Genomic DNA, 27,559 nt, shown 5'->3' with positions numbered 1-27,559 from the left:
TTTTTTTCTTCAGTTTATATGGTTTTATCTTTATATATTAATTCCTGACATTTGGGAGTTTACTATTATTCAGTGGAAGGTCAAGATTCAACTTAATCTTCTTTGGAGTTGCTCTCAATTGTCCTGAGAACTTCTTGCTGACAATGATCTGCCTGGATACTGTGCTCTGAATGAATATTCTGGAGGAAGAAGTCTAAGTTATACTGGGGAAGTGTGGAAAATGGACAGTGTATGGTTAAGAAACAGGAGACTGCTAAAGTGGGTGCTGGGTGAGAAACAAAAGGGTAACTCTCCAGGTAATTTATGAGTACCAAGAAGCCAGGGACCCTTCAAGTCCAGAAAATAAGCTACACACACACCCTGACTGACAGCACACTCTAAAGCCCTCACAATTCTGGAGGATTAGTCTCTGCCATTTAGAACTGGGAATCAGAAAATTCACTTTGTTTATCACACTGAGGGATTATCTCAGAATACAGCACAAGAAAATCAGGAGATGGAAAGCATGAAAGAAAAGTTAAAAGACTTGGACTGAAGACAGTGACCTTATGGAAAGTAGCAACTCCCTTTCTGAGTATATAGAGACTGAACAACCAGAATAGGTCAAATGACAGTATCTAGACGAATCTCAGTAGCCTACAAAGGGTGCAGGTTCCAGAAGTTTTCTCATCTTTGGTGTTGAAGGGCTGTTTCAGAGGCTCCAGGCAGGTGATCCTTTCTGGCCTCCAAACCTAGTTTAGAGAGCATAGAGCCCATGATTGTCTGAAGACACCCAACAGAAAGCCACTGGAGAATCCCATCGGCAGGTGGAGTGAGCTGAACCTGCCTGCTTTCCTCAGTAGATCTTATAGAAATTGCCATTTCTGATGATCCTGGGGCTCCTCTGCAGACTGTACTGGTGGATGGAATTGCTCAGCTTATAAGGTTGGCATAGGACTACCCCAGAAGGCACCTGCCTTTAGTGGAAGGGCTCAAGCATTGCCAGCCTCTAGGACACGGTGTACTGTCTTCTAAGGGAGCCTAGAAAGGTGCACCTATTGTAGATAGGAAACTTTGCAGCCACTTAAGGAGTTTAGTAACTTAAGGGACTGAGCAGACCAAACAGAACTGGTAGTTCATATTTAAGGCAGGTTTAATAGTTGATAAGAAAAATTAACCCAAACACCTTTAATCTAAAAATAATGCAATATCATACAGCAGTGAAAATGAAGAAACTGTAGCTGCATGAAACAACATAGATTAATCTTAGAAACACAAATGTTGTATGAATAAAGCACATCTATCATGGAGGAAAATGCCTTGATACTTTGGTAGCCTAAGGTACACTACCAGACAAGCTATCCCAGAGGTCATAGAACAGATAGGCTCACAGACCACATTAGGTGCTGTAATTGCACAGTTACAGTCAATTTAAAACACAGGGTAAAAAGTAAGGGGGAGGAGTGGAAATGGGGTATGTTATCCCATGTGAGATAGAGTACAAGCAGGTAGAAGGATCGCATGACCTGAATCAAGTGTGCAGAATGTTCAAGTGTTCAAACATCCTTTCTCTGTCTTTCTGCTGCACCAGCCTTACCACTGATGGTGTGGTTCTGAGAACCAGAGTTGAGGTTCAAACAGGGGTGTCCAGAGGAAAGGCATCAGGGCCAATGACATGCACTTGCTGTATGGGAAAAACACAAGGATGAGTGCTGCTGGCCACAGCTCCATTCCCTAAAGAACTAACTAACTGCCATGGCTTTGTGTTTCTTGAGCACATGGAGACAGAATGGGTATCTCCAGTGGGTACTGAATTAGGCCCAGACAAATATTGAGTCAGCAGTGCTGTGTTGTTAAACAGGCTTTTTAGGGGGGAAAATAAGCTCATTTATAGTATTTATCAGTTTCTGTGCTCTAAACACTCCCACCATAGCTGATTTCAAGATTCAGTCAAGTCACTGAACGCAGAGTTGGGAAGAGATGGCCACATTTGAATTTCACAAACTTCAGTGCTTCCCTGATTGAGTGCCTCTAAACCTCCATGAATGTTCAGAGACTCATGTTTAAAATCATTGCCTGACTAATATTATTTGTCTCTTGGTCTTCATATCCTTTTATATCTATATTCAAAGATAAACATGGTATTCTTAGTAAATTACTTATCTTTAATTTACATAGTTTATGAATCTCATCTATCCATATCTCTCAAATTACTGACTTTGTTATAATCAATACCCAACACATCTTATGATATTTGACTAATGTCTTATAAGGTGAATTTATTTATTTTCTAAGGTAGAAATGAATATTCTCATATAATACAGCAAACACATTACAGTGTCTTAGAAAAGGACATCCAGGATGATACAACTTTAATGAAGCCCAAAACATAAAAACAAAACAAATACACTTTAGATATGAACATATATATGATACAGCTCACACACAGGTTAATACATGTGATATCAACCTATGATAGATGTGAATGCATGTATATGTATTTGTGTGTGTGTATTTGAGCATTAAATAAGCCAATGTAAATCAACTATTAGCCATGAACTGTTAGGCATCTGAATGGAGATTGGCTTATAATTTGGAATTTGGTAGCGACATGAGAAAAAACAGGACATACTGAAAATTCCTCAGTATTTCAATAGAAATGGTATTTAAAGCCCTGGTCCTGGACAAGACCACCTAGAGAAAGAACATAGATGGAGAAGAGGAGAAAATCAAGGGAATAGCTGTGAGGACTTCCAGCATTCAGGACTTAGACAGAAGAGAATGACAGGCCAGCAAATGTTCTGAGAAGCTTCCCATGAGGCAGTGGGAAAACAAGGTAGGTGTGTGTGACAGCTGCCTCAAGACAACAGTCAGTCAGAGGCCAACTGTACCACATGCTGCTGGGGTTGAGCAAGTGGCCACAAGTCCAGCAGGGTGGAAGTCACAAAACACCTTAACAAGAACCGTGTCAGTGTTTTGAGAGTGAAAATGGAGGTGTGTTGGGAGTTGGCTGAGGAAAGAATAAGAAGAAAGAGAATGGAGGCAGTTAGCACAGCCTTTTGGGAAGTTTTGCCTTGAAGAGAGGCAGAGAAATGTCAAAGTGCATGGAGGGGGTTCTGAAGGGTGTGTTTTGTTTTGTTTTGTTTTGTTTTTATCATGAGCCACAGGAAGCTATATTTGCAGCTACTCAGGAGGTTGAGTCATGAGAATCGCTTGAACCCAGGAGGCAGAGGTTGCAGTGAGCCGAGATCATGCCACTGCACTCCAGCCTGGGTAACAGAATGAGACTCCATCCCCTCCAAAAAAAGTTCATGAATAACATATGCTTGTGTACTCAGAAATTATGGGAAACATTCAAGAGTTGAGGAGGGAAGTGAGGATGCAGAGAGAGAATACATACTCTTAGGAGTCCAAACCTGGGATAGATTGGAGGAGATGGGGTCCAGAGGACAAGAAGGGACCTGGCTTTGGATGGATGCAATGCAGGAACCTGTCCCCCATTATAGTCAAAGCAAAGGCAAAGAGTTCAAGGAAAAGATGCAAATTTGGTGGACTTAGTGGTAGAAAAAGATGCTGTTTTCCATCTCCATGTATCTGTGGCCTGGGGTCAGGCAGTCTCATTTCCAACACTACCTTCCCCTGTTATTAACAATGTGACCTTTGGCAAGTTATTTAATTTTTCTCTCTATTTACTCAATTATAAATCTGACTACTAGGGCTTAAATGAGGCAACACAAGTAAATAAGTGACTTTTTTTTCTTTTTTTTTTTTTGACGTTATGTGGTAGGAAAAGATCTTCTAAACAAAAGAGTAAACGTAGAGGTCATTATAGAGGAGAATGAGAGATCTGGCTCCGTAAAAACTTACAGTTGAATTACAAAACACCACATTAAAAAAATTAAAGATGGGAGGATAATTGCAGCCAGCATACAGACAAAGGATCATTCACAATACATAAAGATTCTGTAAATTAAGGCAAAATTAAACAAGCAAAAGAAACAAAGATAAAAAGATTATGAACAGACAGTTCACAAAAGAAATAAAAAATAATAGTTAAAGATAGAAAAACGTGCAACTTTACTATGAAAAAGGAAATTAAAATGGGATACTCTTTATTATTTACTCTACTTTTTTTTTTTTTGAGATAAGGTCTCCCTTCGCCACCCAGGCTACAGTGCAGTGGCATGATCTCAGCTCACTGCAGCCTTGAACTCCTAGGCTCTAGTGATGCTCCTTCCTCAGATTCCTGAATAGCTGAAACTACAGTCAGGCACCACCATGTCTGGATAATTTTTTACTTTTTGTTTTTTGTAGACACAGGATATTACTCATTGCCCAGGCTGGACTTGAATTCCTGGCCTCAACTGATCTTCCCACCTCGGCCTCCCAAAGTGCTGGGATTACAGGCATCAGCCACCACCCCTAGCTCTCTTTTTCACTTTTTCATTAATATTGGAAAGGTAATTTTTTTTTTTTTTTTTTTGAGACAGAGTCTCACTCTGTCGCCCAGGCTGGAGTGCAGTGGCGCAATCTCGGCTCACTGCAACCTCCGCCTCCTGGGTTCAAGCAATTCTCCTGCGTCAGCCTCCACAGTAGCTGGTATTACAGGTGCCCCTGAGAACGCCCAGCTAATTTTTTGTATTTTTAATAGAGGCAGGATTTCACCATGTTGGCCAAGCTGGTCTCGAACTCCTAACCTCATGATTCGCCTGCCTCGGCCTTCCAAAGTGCTGGGATTACAAGCATGAGCCACTGCGCCCGGCCAGAAAGGCAACTTTTAAAAACTTTGAGGGGCTGGGCATGGTGGCTTATGCCTGTAATCCAGTGCTTTGGGAGGCCAAGATGGAAGGATCACTTGAGGCCAGGAGTTCAAGGCCAGCCTGGGCAACACAGCAAGATTCCCATCTCTATAAAGAATTTTTTTAAGTTAGCCAAGTGTGGTGGCATGCACCTGTCATTCCATTTCTTCGGAGGTTGATGTGGAAGGATTGCTTGAGCCTAGGAGTTTGAGATTACAGTAAACTGTGATTGCACCATTGTAATAAATCTCCAGCCTGAGTGACAGAGCAAGACTCTGTCTCAAACAACAAAAAAAGAAACAACAACAAGAAAAAACCTTTGAGGATATTAAATGCTGTCAAAGAGATGAGAAAAAAAAACCCAATATTTTTGGCAATTTAATTTGGTACTACACACTTCTAGTAAGGTACTTTGTCAGTATTTACCAAAATTTAAAATGCACGTAGCCTTTGATCTAGACTTTGACCTAGCAAGTCCACTTCTGCTATTCTATTGTGCAGAAATAAATTATGTCTATGTTCAGAGTAACTGCGTAGACTCTAGAATGACATAAAAACGCTTACAAGACTAATTGTTGAATAAAAAGTGAAGTCACAAAACAATAGAAACATTATGATCCTGTTTACTTAAAAATGATAATACCTATACACATATATAGTATTTGATGACTTAATATTAATGTTCATCTGGAAAATAAAAAACACAATCATCTAGAAATGATTGAAAAAGTAATAAAAAGCGAACATGCCCTACCATGTTAGAACATTCTGAAAAGCTATAAAAGTTAAAATATTTATTAGCACATTTATAGAAAAATCTAGCTTTCTGTCTACATATTACGTAATGCATTTACCAAGAGGATGACTATGTGTAGATATATATTATTTATGTGTGCAGAAAAGAAAAGGTATGCAATTATGTATTATATAACACATTGTTACTAATGGTTAATTTTACAGAGACGAGTGAGAATGGCTAGGAAGGCACATGAGGGGAACTTTGGCTCCTTGTAGTAGTTTACTTTTACAATAAGCATATATAACTTGTGTAATTAAAAGAACATGAGAGGAAGTATGACAGTCATCTGCTATGTTATAGGGAACTACCAGAAAAATGTGCTCTCAGGAGAACATATGAAATTATATGTTCTTAAATCATAAATTTGAAGTTTGTGCATTCTAATATGCTCGTCTCCTTATGGTTTAAAGCTACTGCTCTATAATATGTCATCTATCAATTTGTATGTGTTTTCCAGGTAGAAGTCTAGAGTCCCACAGCTTACTTTCTCTCTCTTTGCAGGAATGTTACTGGGATGCTTTACTGCCATCCTCATAGGTGGCTTCATTAGTGAAACCCTTGGGTGGCCCTTTGTCTTCTATATCTTTGGTAAGCTACTATCTCCCAGTTCCCTGAGTTTCATATGCAGAAAGATTCTCCTCAGTAAGTATATTTTGTGTATAGTTTTCCAAAGGAAATGAGTCAAGACAGATAAATCCTAGAAAACCAAATATCTTAATCTAAGGGAATAATTAGTCAATGCCATAAAAAAATTTGGAAGTTCTCCTGCCTATTATAAAGTGCTATTAACCCACCATATTGTGTTATTATCACAGGGTAATCAGTCATACTCTGCTGCCATTGAAGGCAGTAGGGGATAGGCTTGCAGGTCAGTGGTAAGACACGGAAGGAAGAAATCCAGACAGGTAGGTGCTGCTGTGGGTTTTGTCTCAGAGTAAGCACAGGAGCAAGGCATCCTGAGTAGCACAGGAGCAAGGCATCCTGAGTAAGGCTCAAGTTTCTTAGAGAGGAGAAAACACGAAACACCAAGAGGATGAATTTTGCCAACCTCCGCATTTGTCCCAAAGCCTTCCATTTAGTTATTAGAAATTGAGAAAGAACTGCTCCCTCCATAACTTCCACTTTAGTAGCTTTTACATTCTACTTTCAAACCTTTCATTAGTTTGCATTCATTTGTTTATACATTTAACTCCCCTTCTGGACAGTGAGCTCTTTGAGGGCAGAGATAGAGTCCTGTTGGTTCTTGGGACTGTACAGAGTCCAGGGAACAAAGATGTTAGTTACCATGGAAACATTAATCAAGAGAAAACTGGGGGGATATATTAATATCAGATAAGAATGGCTTCAGAACAAGGAATATTACCAATTCACAAGAAGATATAACAATCTGAAATGTATATGCACCTAATGACAGAACTTCAAAATACATGAAGCAAAAACTGATAGAAGAGTAAGGAGAAATCAACAAATCCACAATTAAAGATGGAGGCCTCAATATTCTTCTCTTAATAATCAATAGAATAAGAACACAGATTAAGTACATTTTATTCAACAACAGTAGAGTACTTATTTTCAAGTGTGCTTCAAACATTCACCAGGATAGACAATTTATGGCCTACAAAAATAAGATGGAACAAATTTAAATGAGTTGAAAATAATAGAAAATATGTTCTTTGAACATAATAAAATTAAACTAGAAATGAGTGACAGAAAAGCCTCTGGAAATACCCTAAATATTTAAAAACTTAGCAACATACTTCCAATGAGTTAAAGAAAAAGACACGAGGGAAAGTTTTTAATCAAATTGAATGAAAATGAAAATCAATATATCAAATTTTGTAGGATGTAATTAAAACAAAGCTTAGAGAGAAACTTTTAACATTAAATGCTTATATTAGAAAAGATGGTTCTCAAATTAATGATCTAAGCTTATGCCTTAAAATACCTAGAAAAAGATGATTTAAGTAAACCTAAATCAAACTGAAGGAAGAAAATAACAAAAATACATGCAGAAGGCCGGGTGCGGTGGCTCACGCCTGTAATCCCAGCACTTTGGGAGGCCGAGGTGGGCGGATCATGAAGTCAGGAGATCGAGACCATCCTGGCTAACACGGTGAAACTCCTTCTGTACTAAAAATACAAAAAAATTAGCCAGGCGTGGTGGCGGGCACCTAATGTCCCAGCTACTCGGGAGGCTGAGGCGGGAGAATGGCACGTGAACCCGGGAGGCGGAGCTTGCAGTGAGCCAAGATCGCACCACTGCACTCCAACCTGGGCCACAGAGCGAGACTCTGTCTCCAAAAAAAAAAAAAAAAAAAAAAAAAACATGCAGAAATTAATGGATTTAAACCAAAAAAGAGATTTTGTTCAATTTACAATTGGTTATTTGAAAAGATCAATAGCATTGACAAATCTTTAGCCAGATGGAGAGAGAGAGAAAGAGAGATAAACAGAGAGAGAGAGAGAAAGGAAAGAAAAATAACCAATATCAAGAATGAAAAAGAGGACTTTTTCATTCATTCATGTAGGCAGGGGAAAATCATTGGTGAAGGCTGAGGACGGTGCCTACACTCACAGAAAATCAGAGATAGTACTCATTTTCATAAGACAGACTGAAAAATTCATAATTCATGGGTCACTGGATGGAATACTCATAAATGTTGTTCCTCAGTAGTGAGAAATTATTAGTCTTACAGGGAGTACTGCTGTGGATCTCTCTAACAAATGGTGATGGCCAGACCTAAAAGGGGCAAACTATTTCCACATAATTTAATCATATCCCAAAACAAAGCTTAATAAGATTTACAGGAATACAAAACTATCTGGCACCCAGCTGGATATAATTCATAATGTCTGGCTCCAACCATAGATTACCAGACATGAAGAAAAGGAGAAAAATACAACTTATAATGAAGAGAATAATAAATTGATCAAAACTAACCCAGAGCTGACAGAGATTTTAGAATTAGTAAACAAGGGCATTGAAATAGTTACTATAGCTACATTATAGCATAAGTCTGTATGTTCAGAAAGTTAAGTGGAGACATAGTAAATATAAAGAAGACCCAATAAAACTTATAGAGATGAAAAGTACAGTATCTGAGATGAAAAATGCACTGAATGGAGTTAATGACAGATTAGATACAATAAAATAAAAGATTAATGAACTTAAAAACAACAATAGAAATCATCCAAAACCCACCACACAGAGAAAATTATAATATTAAAATGAGAACATCAGTAAGTTGTGGAGTGCCCAAAACAGAAAAGTAGGATGGGAGAACAAAAACAACATTTTTCAAAAATATTTGAAGAAACAATGGCCAAAAATTTTCCAAATTGGATGAAAACTATAAATTCACAGATCCAAAAAAGTCAATGAACCTCAAGCCCAAGAAACATGAAGAAAACTACATCAAGTTACATTCTAATCAAATGGCTCAAAACCAGAAGTAAAGAGAAAATCTTAAAGTAGCCAAAGCTAAAAGATGTGTTATAGAGAGAGGAACAAAGATAATGCTGAATGCAGCATTCCTTCCTGTTAGAAGCAGTGCAAGAGAGAAGGCAGTGGAACAACATCTTTAAAGTAGTGCAAAAAAACAAACCGAAACAGAAACAAAAACCAAAATCTGTCAACCTGGAATTCTAGACCCAGTGAAAAAAAAAAGTTTCAAAAACAAATGCAAAATAGAGATGTTTTCAGATGTAGAAAAGCTGAAATAATAAGAAATGTCAATTAAAGAGAACAGTACGATTTTCAATAGCATAAAAAATATTCAACATAGGGATAAACCTGCCAAAAGATATGTGAGGGCTGTGCACTGAAAACTAAATTTTTATGGAAATGCAAAGATTTTAGAATAGCCAAACACCTTTGAAAATAAATTACAAAGTTGTAGGACTAACACTACCTGATGTCAAGACATATTATAAAGTTATAGTCTTTAAGACAGAGTGGTATTGACATAAACATTGGCAAATAGATCAATGAAACAAAATAGAATCATAGACTCATGATTCTATTTACTTCATATAAAGTAAACTGAACTGATATTTGAGAAAGGTTCAATAGATAAAGGATAGTCTCTTTAACAGAAGGTGCTCAAAAATTGGATATCCACATGCAAAAAAATGAACTTCCATCCATACCTTGGATCATATATAAAAACTAAACCAAAATGAATCCCAGACCTAAATATAAAACCTGAAATTATTATCCTTCTAGAAGAAAACATAGGCGTTAATCTTTCTTATTTACACAAAGATTTCCTAAATATGACACCAAAAGCATAATTCATAAAATTAATTGATAAATTGGATTTCATCAAAGTTAGAAATATATCCTCATCAAAAGGCATTGTTAGGATAATAAAAAGACATGCTGATCCCAGGAGAAAATAATTGCAAAACACATGTATAATAAGGATTTTTATTCAGAATGTGTAAATAATTCTCAAAACTCAATAATAAAAAACCAAAAAAAAAAAAAATTGGGCAAAGACACTTCATCAAAAAAAGATAGGGGGAAAATAGGCACATGAAAAGATGCTCAACTCATCCTTAGTTATTTAAGAAATACAAATAAAAACCATAAGATATCTCCACACACCTATCAGAATGGCTAATATTAAAAATATTGAGATATCAAGTGTGGTGCCACTTCTAGGCTCTGTAATTTCCACACACACAAATAAACAGGAAATGTAAAATGGGTGAATTGTTTCAGAAATGGAAAAGGGATATAATGAACATGAGCTTTTCCTAGAACTTATAACAGAAAATATCCCAACATAAAAGAAGTTCACCCAAAAAGCAGAAAACAGCCCATTTACCAAATTTACCCTGTGCTTACAGGAGGTGTTGGCTGTGTCTGCTGCCTTCTCTGGTTTGTTGTGATTTATGATGACCCCGTTTCCTATCCATGGATAAGCACCTCAGAAAAAGAATACATCATATCCTCCTTGAAACAACAGGTACATATAAAGACACCAACACTTTTCTGAGACCTTGTATCTGGATTTTCTTGAGGCCTTAAATCTGGATTTTTAAGGGTGACTAAGTGTGTGAGCATCTGTCGGATTTACCGTTATGACCAGTAAATTTGTTTTCAGGTCGGGTCTTCTAAGCAGCCTCTTCCCATCAAAGCTATGCTCAGATCTCTACCCATTTGGTCCATATGTTTAGGCTGTTTCAGCCATCAATGGTTAGTTAGCACAATGGTTGTATACATACCAACTTACATCAGCTCTGTGTACCATGTTAACATCAGAGACGTGAGTATGTTTCCTTCCCTTCCTTTCTCCTGCTTGCATGGCTGACCAATTACTCTGCCCTCACTAATCATTCCATCTGAGAAATGTATTTCTTATTACCAAAAATAATCTAATATTTAATACTCATGCCAGTAGCTTTTCTGGGGTATGATTTAAGAGGTTACTGATTTTCCTAAGAAAGTATGATTTCAGAATGTCATTATTATTAGTAGTAATTTATCAACAAAAGTTGTGGTCTCACTGCCTTTATTATGGTAATTTACTCAATCTTTTCTCTTTAGAATGGACTTCTATCTGCCCTTCCTTTTATTGTTGCCTGGGTCATAGGCATGGTGGGAGGCTATCTGGCAGATTTCCTTCTAACCAAAAAGTTTAGACTCATCACTGTGAGGAAAATTGCCACAATTTTAGGTAAGAACAGAGCTTGAGGGTCAGATAATTTGCGTAGCATACAACAGCCAAAGAATGCATCTCACTGTTTAATTGGTTTCTTCTTCATTTCCTAGGAAGTCTCCCCTCTTCAGCACTCATTGTGTCTCTGCCTTACCTCAATTCCGGCTATATCACAGCAACTGCCTTGCTGACGCTCTCTTGCGGATTAAGCACATTGTGTCAGTCAGGGATTTATATCAATGTCTTAGATATTGCTCCAAGGTAGGACTCTGATCTCCACTATCAGTTTCACATTTTCTTTAAAAGATTTAGCTTTCAGCTTTCTGGGATCCCCAAACTTAGGAAATGAATAAACCATAGGGGAAGAACCACAGATAGACCTGTGGCCGTTTTTTTCAGGTATGTTGAGGAAGGGGTATTGATTTGTCCTCATCCCTCTCATTGAATATACATAGTGCAAGTCCTTTTTGATATAATTGTCTAATTATAATTATATATAATTGTGAAATATAATTGAGTTATAGATTCATACATGGATCAGGGCTGAAGGATACTGTCAAACATCTCTGGATCTAGACCGGAACATTCCTGTCACCCACAGGTATTCCAGTTTTCTCATGGGAGCATCAAGAGGATTTTCGAGCATAGCACCTGTCATTGTACCCACTGTCAGTGGATTTCTTCTTAGTCAGGTACAATTTTTTTGTCATGAAGGACTCCAAAGATGCTCTGCTAAATCCACTTATAAAGGTGATAGCATGTATTCAAAGACTGAAAAATAAAGTTAAATTTTGGGTAATTTGTCATTAAGATGAACCTGCTAAAGAAAAATATAGAATCATTTCTTTGGTGACCTAAAGCCTGGTTCATTCTCAAGCAAAGAACTAAATAGTGATTGCTGTCTTTGAAACTGAAACCACACAGCTGCATAGGTGTCTTGGGATAATGATTCCATGCATAAATGCCAACCTGCTATGTTTTGGGCAATACTTTGAATTTGTATCCAGCATCTACAAGGAACTTAAGTTTACAAAAAACAAATGAACCCTTTAAAGTGTTTGCAAAGAATGTGACCAGATTCTTTTCAAAAGAAGACATACACGTTCTTCTTTTGAGAATTGTCTTCTCATGTCCTTAGCCCACTTTTTGATGGGACTGTTTATTTTTGTCTTGCTAATTTATTTGAGTTCATTGTAGGTTCTGGATATTAGTCCTTTCTCAGATGTATAGATTGTGAAAATTTTCTCCCAGCCTGTGGGTTGTCTGTTTATTCTGCTGTTTCTTTTGCTGTGCAAAAGCTCTTTAGTTTAATTAAGTCCCAGCTATTTTTGTTTTTATTGCATTTGCTTTTGGGTTCTTGGTCATGAAATCCTTGCCTAAGCCGGTGTCTAGAAGGGTTTTTCTGATGTTATCTTCTAGAATTGTTATAGTTTCAGGTCTTAGATTTAAGTCCTTGATCTATCTTCAGTTGATTTTTGTATAAGGTGAGAGATGAGAATCCAATTTCATTCTCCTACATGTGGCTTTCCAATTATCCCAGCACTATTTGTTGAATAAGGTGTCCTTTCCCTACTAAATGTCCAAAAAACATGTGAAAAAATGCTCAGCATCACTAATGATCAGGGAAATGCAAATCAAAACCACAATGCGATATTACCTTACTCCTGCAAGGTTGGCCATTGTTGTTGGCCTGGATGACTATTGGTAGGAATGTAAACTAGTACAACCAGCATGAAAAACAGTGTGGATATTCCTTAAAGAACTAAAAGTAGAACTACTGTTTGATCCAGCCATCCCACTACTGGGTTTCTACCCAGAGAAAAGAAGTCATTATACGAAAAAGATAATTGCACAGACATGTTTATGGCAGCACAATTCACAATTGCAAAAATGTGCAACCAACCCAAATGCCCATTAATCAATGAGTGGATAAAGAAACTGTGGTATACATATATATGATGGAATACCACTCAGCCATAAAAAGGAATGAATTGATGGCATTCACAGCAATCTGGATGGGATTGGAGACTATTATTCTAAGTGAAGTAACTCAGGAATGGAAAACCAAACATCATACATTCTCACTCACAAGTGGGAGCTAAACTGTGATGATGCAAAGGCATAAGAGTGACACAGTGGACTTTGAGGACTCAGGGGGAAGGTGTGGGAAGGGGGTAAGGGTTAAAAGACTACAAATCCGGTTCAGTGTATTCTGATTGGGTGATGGGTGCACCAAAATCCCACATATCACCACTAAAGAACTTACTCATGTAATCAAATATCACCTGTTCCCCAAAAACCTATGGAAATAAAAAAATTAAAAAATAATAATAAAATAAAATAAAAAATTTTTAAAAGAAAACATACATGCAGCCAACAAAGGTATGAAAAAAGCTAAATATCACTGATCATTAGAGAAATGCAAATCAAAACCACAGTGAGATCATCTCACAGCAGTCAGAATGTCTATTATTAAAAAGTCAAAAAATAACAAATGCTGGAGAGGTTACAGAGAAAAGGGAACGCTTATACACTGTTGGTGGGAGTGTAAATTAGTTCAACCGTTGTGGAAAGCAGTGTGGTGATTCCTCAAAGAGCTAAAAACAGATCTTCCATTCTACGCAGCAATTCCATTACTGGGTATATACCCAAAAGAATGTAAATTATTCTACCATAAAGACACATGAACACTTACGTTCTCTGCAGCACTATTCATAATGGAAAAGACATGGAATCAACCTAAATGCCCATCAATGACAGATTGGATAAAGAAATATGGTACATATACACCATGAAATACTATTCAGAATGAGATCATATCTTTTGTAGGAAAATGGATGGTGCTGGAGGCCATTATCCTAGAAAACTAACGCAGGAACAGAAAACCAAATACCACATGTTCTCACTTATAAGTAGAAGACAAAGGATGAGCATTCATGGACACAAGGAGGGGAACAACAGACACTGGATCTTACTTGAGAGTGAAGGGTGGGAGGAGGGAAAGAGTCAGAAAAAAAAAACTATTGGGGACTAGGCTTAGTACCTGGGTGATGAAATATCTGTACAACAAACTCCCATTACATGAGTTTACCTATATACCACAACTGCACATGTGCCTCTAAGCCTAAAAGTTGTTTTTAGAAAATAATATTTCCGGCCAGGTGCGGTGGGCTCACACTTGTAAACCCAGCACTTTGGGAGGCCGAGGCAGGCAATCACGAGGTCAGGAGATCAAGACCATCCTGGCCAACATGGTGAAACCCCGTCTCTACTAAAAATACAAAACAATTAGCCGGATGTGGTGGTGCATACCTGTAGTCCCAGCTACTCGGGAGGCTGAGGCAGGAGAATTGCTTGAACCCAGGAGGCGGAGGCTGCAGTGAGCCGAGATCGTGCCACTGTACTCCAGCCTGGGCGACAAAGTGAGACTCTGTCTCAAAAAAAGAAAAGAAAAGAAAAGAATATTTCCATCACCCAGATGGTTCTTTTGTGCTCCTTTCCATTCAGTACCCCTCCTGGTTGTAACTATTACCTTGACTTCTGTTTTCATAGATTATATTTTCCCATTCTTGCCTTTCATAGAAATGGAATCATATAGTACCTACCCTAGCTTATTTCATCCATCATGTTTTTGAGATTCATCCATTGGAAGTTATAATAGCTTGTTCTTTTCTATTGCTGTGTAGTGTCTCATTGTGTGGCTAATCACAAATTATCTATTGTACTTTTATGGACATTTGAGTTGTTTGGCTATTATCAATAAGGCTGCTATGAACATTGTTTTCTTTTCACTAGAATAACAGTGTTTTGGTTTCATTGCATTCATTATGGTTGTTTTTTATTAAAGGCAAGTAATTCTGGTTATCTATTTCAAATAGTGATAAAATAGTTCCTTTTAAAATTTAATTGATTTAAAAAAACAAAATTTCTAGAAAATTGTAAATAATTATACATTAAAAATTTTCATTTGCATAATCATGCCAAAAAGGGGATAATGAAAGCAAACATTAAGTGTGTGATGTATGCATAGGTATTTCATATGCTGTAAACTCATTTAACTATTGATATTGATTCTCACATCAGTTGTGAAAATTGAATTTTATTATTTTCATTCCCTAACAAGCTGAAAATCTGTTAGCATAAGTCTTTCCACAATAAGGATGAACAATCAGAATTCTTCAAACTTAAACATGTATAGCTCAAAAGCCCATAATCTTTTCACAATTCCAGCACAACATAAGAAGAATCTTGAAAGGATTCTCAGCATAGTTTATATAGTCGAGATTCATGCAAAAGAGAAAATGTATGGCACTTGGATAAATAGTGACAAATGCATTTATGTAGATTAATCACAAAGTTCCCCAAATACCCTTTATTAAGAACACTGAATGTATTTTGAAATCCTTTGCATTTAACTATCAAGCCACTTTCAGGAAATGAATTTCTACAAGGAAACCCACCAGTGAATGTTGTCATCTGAACTATTAATATAATGTTTCATAGGAAAATATGAAAGGGGTAATATATACTTGGGGTTTTGTGTCTCCAGGACCCTGAGTTTGGGTGGAGGAATGTCTTCTTCTTGCTGTTTGCCGTTAACCTGTTAGGACTACTCTTCTACCTCATATTTGGAGAAGCAGATGTCCAAGAATGGGCTAAAGAGAGAAAACTCACTCGTTTATGAAGGTAAAGGATAGTGATTTTATGCATGGTTATAGCCATAGAAGCAGCTGAAGTTTTAAATTCTATATCATTTTCCTTTCTTAGTTATCCCACCTTGGATGGAAAAGTCATTAGGCACCGTATTGCATAAAATAGAAGGCTTCCGTGATGAAAATACCAGTGAAAAGATTTTTTTTTTCCTGTGGCTCTTTTCAATTATGAGATCAGTTCATTATTTTATTCAGACTTTTTTTTGAGAGAAATGTAAGATGAATAAAAATTCAAATAAAATGATAACTAAGAATGCAGTTGTCATCTTCATAGAATTAACAATGGATTAAGAGGGCTTGCTGTGTGGGACCCAGTATGTTAGATTCCATTACTGGATACAAGAAACAATGTTTTAAAACCTTTAATCCGGGGTGACAAACTCACTAGGGCAATGATTTTTCCTGTTTGTGAAAATTAATATTACTTTCTATTTATTGGGTTGAGTATTGTCCATGTGTTCTTCCCTATATGTCCTCCATTTATCTCCATCCTGCTCAGGCTCCAAGAGGCTGACCCATATGGATTGCATCCTGTACTCCCTTGTCCATTGGCTTCTGCTAGATTTTTAAGGGAGATAGGTAGAGTCAGGCGGTGTTTATCTCTGACAGTCTCTCTTTTAGGGTGTGCAGATGGCTGAGCTTTCTACAGTTCACAGCTCCTGGAAGGCAGCCCTTTCCATATGTTCTCATAACTTCTCTCTTCCTTGTCCCTTCAGCCTTTTTTATTTGCCTTTATTTGGCAAGCTGTTCGGTTCTCCAGAATCCCTTGTGGTTTCCCTACCACCTGCCTAATCCTGTGTAAATTGTCATTTTCAACAATGCTCACAAATTACCCATTGTAAGTCTGTCATTTTTCTTCTTCTGGGATCCACATAGTTCAGTGGTTCAATTACTTATAAAGCTCAAATATGAATGAATTTGTATTTTTGTAAAATGATAATTTGTAGGTGTTGGTGAGTTCAGGACTATGGTCTGGATTGACCCCTGTTCTAATTTCTACCATGTAGAATAAAGATTAGAGGCATTGAGCCATTTCATATAGAGGCAATGTGATAGACAATAGTTCTAAGTGAAAAATCAAGGCAAGGATTTAGAGGGCCAAGCTTGAATAACCACAACAATTACTTAGATCTTGTTATGTTCCAGAATCTGGAATCTTGGGACACTGGAGTAAAGGAGGCACAGTCATTCTCCATCCTAAAGTGGAGGAAAGACACAATAATTGATAGCACTACACTGTTTTAGGTACAATAGCAGAGAAACATGTAGGGCATCATGAAAGACCAGATGAGGAGTGCCGATTCCAAGTGATGGTAAAATCTTACCAAGTGGTAAGATATTTTACACTGGAGCCCAACTTGCACAAAAGAATAAAAGTAAGAAGCAGGATGGATTCTGAAGGGAATCACTTGCCTGCATAATCAGTTAGGAAAGGAGAGAAGGTGGATTTAGGGAAGTGGGAGTGGCCAGAGTAAGGAGGTCTTGTTTGCTGTGTTAGGGAGTTCAAGGTATAACCTACAAGCAGTATGATAGGAATCATATCAATACTGACAAGGGCAGATTTTCTCTCTAGATAGAACACTCTGACCTAATTTGAGAATCAAGAAGACTAGTTAAATGACCATCTGTGCAGTGGCCTACACAGCAGTAGTGAGGACTGAACTCACCTCAGCAGTGGTGAGGGCAGAAAAAGCTGAGATGAAGACAAGAAGAGAGACATGAAAAATGTTTATAAGATAGAACTGGAAGATCATGGTTTTTGACTAGATGGATGCAGGAGAAGAAAAGTGTCAAGGAGTCCTGGGTCTCTAATGTGAGAGACTGAATAGAGAGTGGTCTGAACAACTAAGCCAGGGAATGTAGCAAGATGAGCCCTTTTCAGCGGGGAAGATCATGATTTGACTTTGGGACATGTTGAGTTAATGGTAATAGTGGGATAATCATGTGGACATGTGTATTAGCTTCCTGGGGCTGCTCTAACAAAGTGCCACCAACTAAGTTGCTCAAACAAAGTAATTTATTGTCTTACAGCTCTAGAAGTCCAAAATCGAGGTGTTGGCAGGGTTGGTTCCTTTTAAAGGCTATAAGGAAGAATCTGTTCTATGCCTTTTTTATTCTTTTAGCTTCTAGTAGTCTCAGACAATTTTTGGCTTGTAGATGGCCTTCTCCCTGAGTCCTCACATCATCTCTTCTCTGTACACATCTGTCTCTGTGTCCAAATGTTCTGTTTTTATAAGGACATCAGTCATATCACATCAGGGTTTACTCTAATGACATCATCTTAACTTGATCATCTGCAAAGACCCTATTTTCAAATACAATCACATTCACAGATACTGAGTATTAGGACTTCAACATCCTTTGGGGGAACATAATTCAAGCCATAGCAGCAAGCTCAATAAGGGGCCAGATCACTAATCTGAAACTTATAGAAACTATAAGAGTGAAATGGAGAAAAAGATAAAGGAGAAAAATGCAAATGTTCAGTACCGCAGACCTGAGTTTAGACCAAATGCCTCAGTAAGAGCCTGTGGATGGAAAACCACAAGCCAAGACAGAATGCCAACATCTAAGAAGGGCCAAAAAAAGAAATGCCCACACATAACAGAGATGAAAGAGTCAGGTGTGTAAGTGTGAGAAATAACAGGAGAGTACAACTCTCATTGAAGACTCATGGGCATGGCCTTTTAAGAAAGACTGCTGATGAGCAATAACAAGTGTAGTGAAGAAGTTCAAGTAGATGAGGTCAGAAAAGGAACTTAGCCTCCTTGTGATGAGGAATTCTTGGTAGCTTTTTCAGGGTACATTTAGCAGAGAGATGAGTGTACAGGTCAGTTCGCAGTTTGTCGGTAAGTGAAAGGGAATGAGAGGGTAGAGAAAGTAAGAGAAATCTTTTCACAAAATTTGATAAAGGGAGATGGGCATATAGCAGAGAGGGATATTTCATTAGTTGGTATTTCACCATCAGAGTGTAGAATCCTGAAGGAAGGAGGGCACTTGAGGGTCAGCCATCAAGGTCTGACTCAACATCGTGAGAAAGTTCTCCTCTCGAAGTGTGGGTCTCACCTCCTTGTTGTTCTAACAAAGGGCAAGGGACACTTCCCCTTCTGCTCTTCATATGTGCTCACCTTCATCACATTTCAAATTCTGCATTTTGGGTTGTTTGTCCAGAAGTGACCAGTTTCTTCTATTAAAGATCCAGTTACCTGGCCTCCCTGCTTGAGCACACATATGACCGGAGATGCACCAACTTAGGATGGATTTCTGCTTGGTATTCTTTTCTGTACTCTTGCTTTTATCCATATACTCCAATCTCCCTTCCCATGATCTCATGTTCAGAAATTCATTTCTAGGCATATACAAAGCCTCTAGTACCACGTCTTTCATCTAGTCATTTTTAGTGTGAATTTTTAAATAGGTATAATCACATGATACTGAGAGTGAACTGTTTAAAGGTAAAATTAGTGAGCTATTTTATTAAGACAGGAAATTTTTAGGTGATATTCAAAGACAATGACATGCATTGTGAAACCTTTGTTTCCCCAGGCAGTACCAACCTTGGACAGGGATGGGGTAATGATTCACATTTATGGGGGGAAAAATTATCTTTGTGTGACTCCAGTCACAGTTTGCTTCTATCAAATCTTCAGTCTCCAATGAAGTTTAAATATTCCTGGGAATCCTAATGAAGGACTGTTTTTATGAGTTTTGTGTTATCATTGTAATGTCAAGATTGTGTGTCAAGTCAATATGAAGTTTAAAACCATTTCCAATATGTTCACTTGATTTACTCTTTTCCATTATTTGGATATCCCATTACACAGGCACAGTGGATGATTTAAGTATTCCAGGAAGCTGTTTCTATACCAAAGTACCTAGCAATAATGTAACAATTCCCCTTATCAACCCAAACCACATAAATGTATCCCAAATTTTGGTCCAATGAAATGCATTCCCACTGCAGCCTTCCCTTCACCATATCAAAAAATGCCAAGAGCAACTCCATAGTACTATGGTACCCAATAGGATGGAGATAGTAACTTTAAACAATTGTGGTTAAAATGGCTTACTTCTAGAAATTTTCAAAAATATGGGACTATATGAACATGTCACTAGTGCCCTCTTCCCCACCAGGACTTTGGAAATGGTCCATGCAAATGAAAGATCTTTAACCTTGTCAATGAGCTGAAACTTGTGATGTTCCAAGGCTGAGCCATGCTTCTTTGAGCCCTCAGTGTCAGTACTTAATGAATATCTGGTGAACGAAATTGAAACATTGGCATCTTCCAAATATCTCACTCCAATTCACTGCCTGAGTTTCCAAGCAGAACTGCTTTGTCTGCAACGTCTTGGAGAGGTTTTTGGTAAAGCCAATCCTTTAGTTCTGACCCACCAGCCACTCTCTTCCATGAGATTCTAGAGTCTGAACCTACACTCACTTTTACTCTTCCATTAATTGCGTCTCTTTTCTATTTACCTAACCATTGTTACCAGATCGCTAATACTGACATCGTGTGCCTGCCTCCATTATTCCTTTGGGTAAGTTTCTTAGGGATTTTTCTCATTCCCAGGGACTCTCTAGTCACTAATGAAGAAGTTCCTAGTGACTCCAACTCTACTAGACTTCTCCATACATCGGGCATGTATCGATGTTATTGAATATTAGCAATGAAAACAGTTTAGATTCAGTCTGAGACAATGCCCACATTAACTACATGTTGAGTATATGCGCAGAAGTGCAGAAATAAATCAATCTAGAGGCTCTTTCCCATCAAAATTTAAAAATAGTTGCATTCAGTCATTATAGCACACACTCAATACTCCACCAATATCCCCTCAGTTCCCTTTACCATTTTGCTGCATACCAGCTCCTGATGAGTTTTCATTCCCAACACCTGGAACCTGTTTTTTCTGTTAGAGGGCTCCCTCAGGCTGCAGGAGCCAGTTTTGCCTGCCAACCTGGATGTGCCTGGGAATTTGTGTCTGCCCGGGAACAGCTCTTACTCAAAGCATCACTATACAGATATAAATGCTCCATCTCCCTTTGCTTCTGCTTGGCAAGCGAGGTCCACACGATCTCCCAAATCCCCTAAGAAGTGAACTGGACCTTACTTTATATCCTTTCCAGATCTACTTATGCTCTCCTCAGTCAGGTTTCCCTGGAAATACATCCTAATGAATCATTTGACAGGAATCCTCATCTCAGGGTCTGCTTCTAAAGAATGTGACCTAAGCCAGTTGTTTCCACAAGAAGACCTAGGATGCAGATTCTTATAATAACTTCCAGAGTTATATCACTGACAAGCCAGGCGGCCCAGGGACCCCCCCTTGATGTTTGTAAAAGCATTGGTGATAACCCGGGCCTGCTGTAGCGTTACAACTGCTGACTCTGTCCTGTTGTGCATTGGAATGAAAGATGGGATACAGGTGTAAGGGAAGGCACTGGCTTGGTCAATAACTCTAGCATTTGAGAAATGTGTGGAAATGGCAATTAGAACAACTTTGAAGTTGGCTGTTTGATGGTGGTCATGATCACCGATGTACTCAAGATGGCCAATTACATCAGAGAATGGTGTGAAAGTCAGAAAATTTCCCTGGCAGCATTTAAAGATATCCTGATCTCCAATAGCAGAGGGCAGACATGTTCTGAAGATCAGACTCAGGATTTGATTGTCAGAGTAGCAGAAAACACAAAGACAAACACTCGACTTTACGCTAAAGTCAAGTCCTGGGAAGTCTCATGCTAAAGTCAAGGCCTGAAATTTACCCTCAAACTTATTGGTATCCTTATCCCAGTACCCCATGCTGCGGGATGGCAGCATCCCGTTTCCTGAAGATTCCCATGCAGAAAACACAGCTGATACAGATGCCTTGCAAGACAATACTTGCTTATTCAAATTCTATCCTCATGTTCTCTATTACCTTAACAAATAGTAAACCTGAATACTTGACAAATAGCTAGGTCAGGGCTTAGGATGGTCCAAATAGTGTAGTGCTGGCCCTGCTAAAGTGGAAGGGACAAGGAGAGCATGCCTAGAATATGGGACCAGAGTGTTGGGGGCAGAAGGTAAGTCCAGATAAGGGAGATCTTGTTAATATGAGGGCACATTGCTGTGACTCAGGATTTAATATCATTGAAGCTTACATGAAAATGCTCAAAAACAGTTCACTCTTGCTGAATTAGTAATTCAGATGCAATACCACAGCCCAGGTGGAATAGCAGACAGTAATGCCATTTGTAAAGATGTAGAAGATGCTAGAGTAATGATCTCTATTGTATTCCCATTCAACTCACCAATGTGGCCCCAGAATAAATAGACTGTGGCAGATGGTAGAGGACCACCACAGATGGGATCCAGTGGTAGCCTTAATTGCATATGGTGTGCCAGATGGAACACATCAACAGAGGCTTTGTCACTTCCTATACAGGTATTAGTATGGCGAGTGTGTTCTTTGGAAGAGCCATGGGAAAGGAGGATTATAAGTAGTTTGCATTGACTTGGGATAGACAACAGTACTTCTTTCACAGTTTTGTCAAGGAATGTGTTAACTTGCCAGCCTCTTTCACAACACAATCTGAAAGGATCTTGATTATCTGCAACATCACATTGTTTCACTATAAGCATGCAGTTATGTTAACTAGAGCTGAATAGCAAGAAGGAACAAGGACTCTGGATGCCATGTAAAAATATATACACTCCCAAGGGAGGGGAGAGAAAGCCTACAAAGTGTCAGGGACTAGCCACATAAGTGAAGTTTTCAGGGATCCAGTGGTCTCAAATATGCCAGAATATCATCTCCAAGGTAAAGAACAAGTTATATCTTGAAACTCCTACCACTAAGAAAGAATCACAAAACTTGGCAAAAAAAAAAAAAAGGTATAAACCTCATCAAGTTTTAGAGGGAATATATATCACACATCTAATAAGACAGTACGCTAACACTTACTTGCCCCAGCCTGAAAGTCCATCCTCAAAACACTCTTCCCTGTCCTTACAACCAGGGGACTGGGTTTGTATCGCAGACTCCTCTGCCCCTCTCCAACCTAAGTGGTTGGGCCCTCACCAGGTTATCCTAGCTACTCCCACAGAGGCAAAGCTAACATCTTTTCCACACTGGACACACCATTCCAAACTAAAAAGAGCACCAGATCCACATTCAGCAATTTCCTCACCCCCAAAATATTCTTCCTCCCTCACAGGACCAACCTCACTGCACTTAAAAATTCCTGAAGTTGCCAATCCAGAAGGCCCTAGTCCATAACACTCTCCAACTCCAGTTGTAAATCTTTTATCTCATATCTTGTTTCAGATATTTCCTGGTATTCCCTACCCAGATCCCTGAATAGTCAACTCCAATTTCTCACATTAATCCAGGAGCTATGGCTGCAGGGCCTTCCAAATATTCACTCCTTCTCAAATCTCCTTTTTCTCCTTTTGTCTTCTTTGTCTGTGGGGTACTCTAAGTTCCCCCCACCCCACCCAACCTCTGGCAGTCAGGCCCCCGTCGTCAACCTCACACATTGCCTCTTAAATCAGTCACACACCCGTCTTTCTTCCAACTGTTAAATTTGTTAGTCCACACAAATCCAGAAGTTCACTGCCCTTTCTGTTAACCTAACTACATAACCCTGGTCCAGAATAAACCTGCATCTTACCTACTCAGCCAATCCACTCCTGAAATCTGTTTATAATCTTTCTCAGCTAAACACCTTTCCCTCCAATCTATCAAATCCACTCACATCATCACACATAGGGTCGTCACCATCCTTCACCTCATAACCTCTAAACTAAACATGTTACAAGCCCGATTCCATAAAACACCTCTTATCAATCCCTCCCCTCTGTGCTGGCCCAGCTTTTCATGTATCCAACCCAAGGTTACCCCCTGGTAAAAAAAATGCACACACAATTCCCTCAACTGCAATCTATATCCTTCTGCCCCATCAGGGCCACAATGGCTGTTAGTTAACAAAAACCCATTTCTCTCTCTCTCTCCAAAACCAAACAGCCTTCACATCCTCCCACACCAACATTCCCTATCAGACCCTCACAGGGGCTTCCCTTGCTAATAGCTATTCAACCTGGAGAAACAAAATGTCGGAACAAAAAGTTTGTCCGGGATTCAACCCCTATCTATCTTCTCATAGCTCGCTACATTCACTTACAACTTTTGCCTCTCAATCCCCGGTCTTTTCTTTCTGTATGGCACAAACTCTTATCTTTGCTTGCCGGCAATTTGGTCAAGAACGTACACCCTGGTTTCAATCTTCAAACATTAGCATTTTGCTAAACAACCAGACCATCCAGGTTCCTTTGGTAGCTTCTGTTTCATCTTCCTCCACACGCACTAAGCGGGCTCTACATCTTATTCCTCTGGTAACAGGATTAAGCATCTCAGATGCACTTGGCACTGGAATAGCAAGTATATCAACCTCAACTTCCCTATATTGAAAAAATCTCTACAGTCCTCTATAATACCTTAGAGGACATGCATACTTCCATTGCAAGCCTCCCAAGGCAGATAAACTCTCTTGTGGGAGTCATTCTCCAAAACCAAAGGGTCCTAGACCTGCTAATCACTGAAAATGGGGGCACATGTGTATATCTCCAAGAAGAATGCTTTTTAATGTTTATGAATCTGGTATTGTTCGCGAAGAAGCCCATGGGCTCCGTAACAGGGATGCAGAAATCCAACATCAAGTCACTAACTCTTGGTAGCACGGGTCATCCCTCCTAAAGTATACGCCTTGGGTAACCGCTTTCTTAGGACCCCTAACCTTCCTCCTCCAAATACTAACAATTGGCCCATGTGTACTCACCTGCATATCCTGCTTTATCTCCCGAAGGCTGAACTCCCTTGTCCAGGCAACCACCCAGAAACCCATTGATGCCATCCTTCTCCTCTGCCAAGTTTGGTATCAGCAGCTCCAGGAAAACAACTCTGAAGTTGGACACCCACTACTTCAAAACCCCAACCCTGATAACAGAGCCCCTGTTCAGCAGGAAGCAACCAGATAGTCAACAACACCCCTTTCCCTTTTATATTAAAGTAGAAGGCAAGAATGTTAGTCCAAACTACACCACTTTGTAAGCCTCCCCCACCGCCATTTCTCAGACCTTGGTCAAAGTGAAACATTCCATGGGGGTTTGGGCCATAAGAAACAGCCTGCCTCTTATCATATTCTGCTGGGAGAAAGTGTGAAAGTGCAAAGAACACCACATTCAGCCGGAAAAAGGGCTAGAACGGCCTCATCCTGGGAACACGTAATCAACATTTTCCCAGGCATTAGGCCGCGCCCCTGCCAGATCCCTCCTGCCCAGAGCTATAAATTGCCCCAGTCTTTAAGCAGCGGTGGGCCCTGACATTAAGCTGGTCTCCCACATCTGTAGGTCTAATGCTGGACATAAAGCCAGCATTTGCTGTTAAGCCAGTCTCTCTCTCTCTCTCTCTCTCTCTCTCTCTGTGTGTGTGTGTGTGTGTGTGTGTGTGTATGTCTTTCTTTAACCCATGCCTTCCCTTCAAAACCTGATACCCTGTAGCCAACCACTGATGGATACTGGCATATAAATACTCTAACTTCTGTACCTTTGGTTAGGATGAATCTGAGGTGCAGACTACACTGTTCCCACTGCTCTCTTGTAGCATTAGTCCAAAATTACCTTCCTCCAGACTTGGCTTGTTTTTGTACCCTTGTTTGGTCTCCTTTCTTTCCCTGCCCACTTCCCAACCTCCTTACTATTTTTGTTGTTGGTTTGTTTTCCCGAAAATACCATTACATCACTTTAACATTAATCTTCATCTCAGGATCTGTTTCTGGGGAAGGCAGCAGTTGATTTTGGCAATCCTATTAGTATTATTTTCATGTTAATACAGGCATGCTATAATAAAGCAAAAAAGTATATTCATTGGGAACAAAGATATTCAACAAAAGAGAAATATGTAAGACTATAAAATCAAAGGAATTTTGAGAATAGCCCTAATCCTAAATTTGAATTAGAAATACAAGGAAAAAATTATAATTTCTTTTCAAAAAAATACCCTTTTCAAGTTCTTCCACTGAAAACATCTAAAAGCAGTGAGAGCCAGGAACAATGAGCACTTAGTGTTCAGAGTGTGGTCTCTAAACATTATTTCCTGCTGAAAGGAGCCAGCACTTCCTAAGAAAGCCCAGATCTGATAATAGAAAAGAAAAAAAAGAAAATATATAAGAGGAAGCTGGAAAGTTTTTTGTGTGTTGGAAGACAAGAAAGCTATTCAAGACCACAAGAGTCATATCATAATGACATGGAAATCAGCTTGAAGGGACTCCCACTGACCAAAGAAGGAACAATTGGAGCATCGAAAAGGAATAAGAACTGCAATAGACTGTAAAACATCAAATAAAATCCATGAGGTCATAATAGTACTTGGTCATTTTTGCTAAGACACTAACTTATTTTAGAACTTTATCAAGTAACTATGGTAACTTTCCTATTAAATCTGTATTTCCAGCTTACCAAATGTTTGATAAAGTAAATTTCCTTTTTTATAAAAAAATTCTAGCTCATAAATGAAGGAGACATGATAGAATTAGAAAATCACTATTTTATAACTTCTTTTTTTTTTTTTTTTTCGAGACGGAGTCTCGCTCTGTCACCCAGGCTGGAGTGCAATGGCGCAATCTCTGCTCACTGCAAGCTCCGCTTCCCGGGTTCATGCCATTCTCCTGCCTCAGCCTCCCGAGTACCTGGGACTACAGGCGCCTGCCACCATGCCCGGCTAATTTTTTGTATTATTAGTAGAGACGGGGTTTCACCGTGTTAGCCAGGATGATCTCGATCTCCTGACCTTGTGATGCACCCGCCTCGGCCTCCCAAAGTGCTGGGATTACAGGCATGAGCCACCGCGCCCGGCCCATTTTATAACTTCTAATCAAATGATAGATCTAGGCAACATTTACTAACTGTAGCTAAAAGCCATAGGTGAAATGTTGGTGAAAACTTTATTAATAAGTCAGGCTAAGAATATCTGAAACTACTGATTAATCTTACTACCACTAAAAGTGAGACAACCTGCTATTATGTGCCTCCCAACACGGAGCGATAGTACCCTGTATCATCCCATATCCCTGTGAATTGTTTTTGTGCTGAATCTAACCAAGCCTCTATATAAACCTCACGGTTTGCAGGATGTAAGGAAATACAAAAATATATCAAATAATCCTAAAAGCGAGCTATTAGCCAAACCAATTAGGAGAGACACTCTGCAAGGGATCCTGTTTTATTGTTGTTGTTTTTAAGTAATGGCAAATGTAAACTGGGAGAGGGGATTATTATAAAATAAGAGACATGACAGCCGTAACAATTAAGCGCCATTATGTGGATCCTATTCAAATCCTCACTTAAATCAAGCAAATATAAAGGACACAATTTTGAAGCAATTGGGAAAATTGTCATAAAGGTTGGATATTAGGTGATGTTAAGGGATTATTGTTTATTTACTAGATGTGCTGATACCATGTTAGTTATATCTTTTAAGGTCCTAATGAATTAGATAGCCATGCTGAATGTTTTATAGAAGAAATGACATAATGTCTGAGATCTGCTTTAAAATGCTACAAAA

At 38.9% G+C, this 27,559-nt stretch overlaps 1 protein-coding gene and 1 long non-coding RNA gene across 3 annotated transcripts in view, besides 1 other annotated feature; one reads left to right on the top strand and one right to left on the bottom strand.

The window, feature by feature from the left end:
• Positions 1 to 16,453, top strand: part of SLC17A3 (solute carrier family 17 member 3) — a 29,388-nt gene extending 12,935 nt beyond the window's left edge. For both annotated transcript variants that reach the window (NM_006632.4, NM_001098486.2), the window contains 8 exons: positions 6,079 to 6,165; positions 10,432 to 10,550; positions 10,689 to 10,850; positions 11,132 to 11,261; positions 11,357 to 11,504; positions 11,845 to 11,935; positions 15,793 to 15,929; positions 16,011 to 16,453. In NM_006632.4, coding sequence (NP_006623.2) covers positions 6,079 to 6,165; positions 10,432 to 10,550; positions 10,689 to 10,850; positions 11,132 to 11,261; positions 11,357 to 11,504; positions 11,845 to 11,935; positions 15,793 to 15,927 — 872 coding nt within the window. In that variant the 3' untranslated portion in view covers positions 15,928 to 15,929; positions 16,011 to 16,453. The remainder of the gene's footprint in view (positions 1 to 6,078; positions 6,166 to 10,431; positions 10,551 to 10,688; positions 10,851 to 11,131; positions 11,262 to 11,356; positions 11,505 to 11,844; positions 11,936 to 15,792; positions 15,930 to 16,010) is intronic.
• On the bottom strand, positions 1,115 to 25,155 carry LOC124901285 (uncharacterized). Its single transcript, XR_007059518.1, has 2 exons — positions 24,777 to 25,155; positions 1,115 to 1,663 (listed from the first exon to the last, which is right to left on the bottom strand). It is a non-coding gene; the product is annotated as an uncharacterized LOC124901285 (long non-coding RNA).
• Positions 18,464 to 18,523: a silencer, noted in NCBI's record as "silent region_16996". NCBI's record gives its function as "represses an Ori minimal core promoter by ATAC-STARR-seq in GM12878 lymphoblastoid cells {active_cell/tissue: GM12878}" and the evidence as "EXISTENCE:reporter gene assay evidence [ECO:0000049][PMID:35858748]".
• Positions 25,156 to 27,559: the final 2,404 nt, after the last annotated feature.

This window comes from Homo sapiens, chromosome 6 (assembly GCF_000001405.40).
Source record: "Homo sapiens chromosome 6, GRCh38.p14 Primary Assembly".
In the NCBI taxonomy this organism is placed as follows: domain Eukaryota; kingdom Metazoa; phylum Chordata; class Mammalia; order Primates; family Hominidae; genus Homo; species Homo sapiens.
This window is presented reverse-complemented; position numbering and strand designations above follow the sequence as displayed.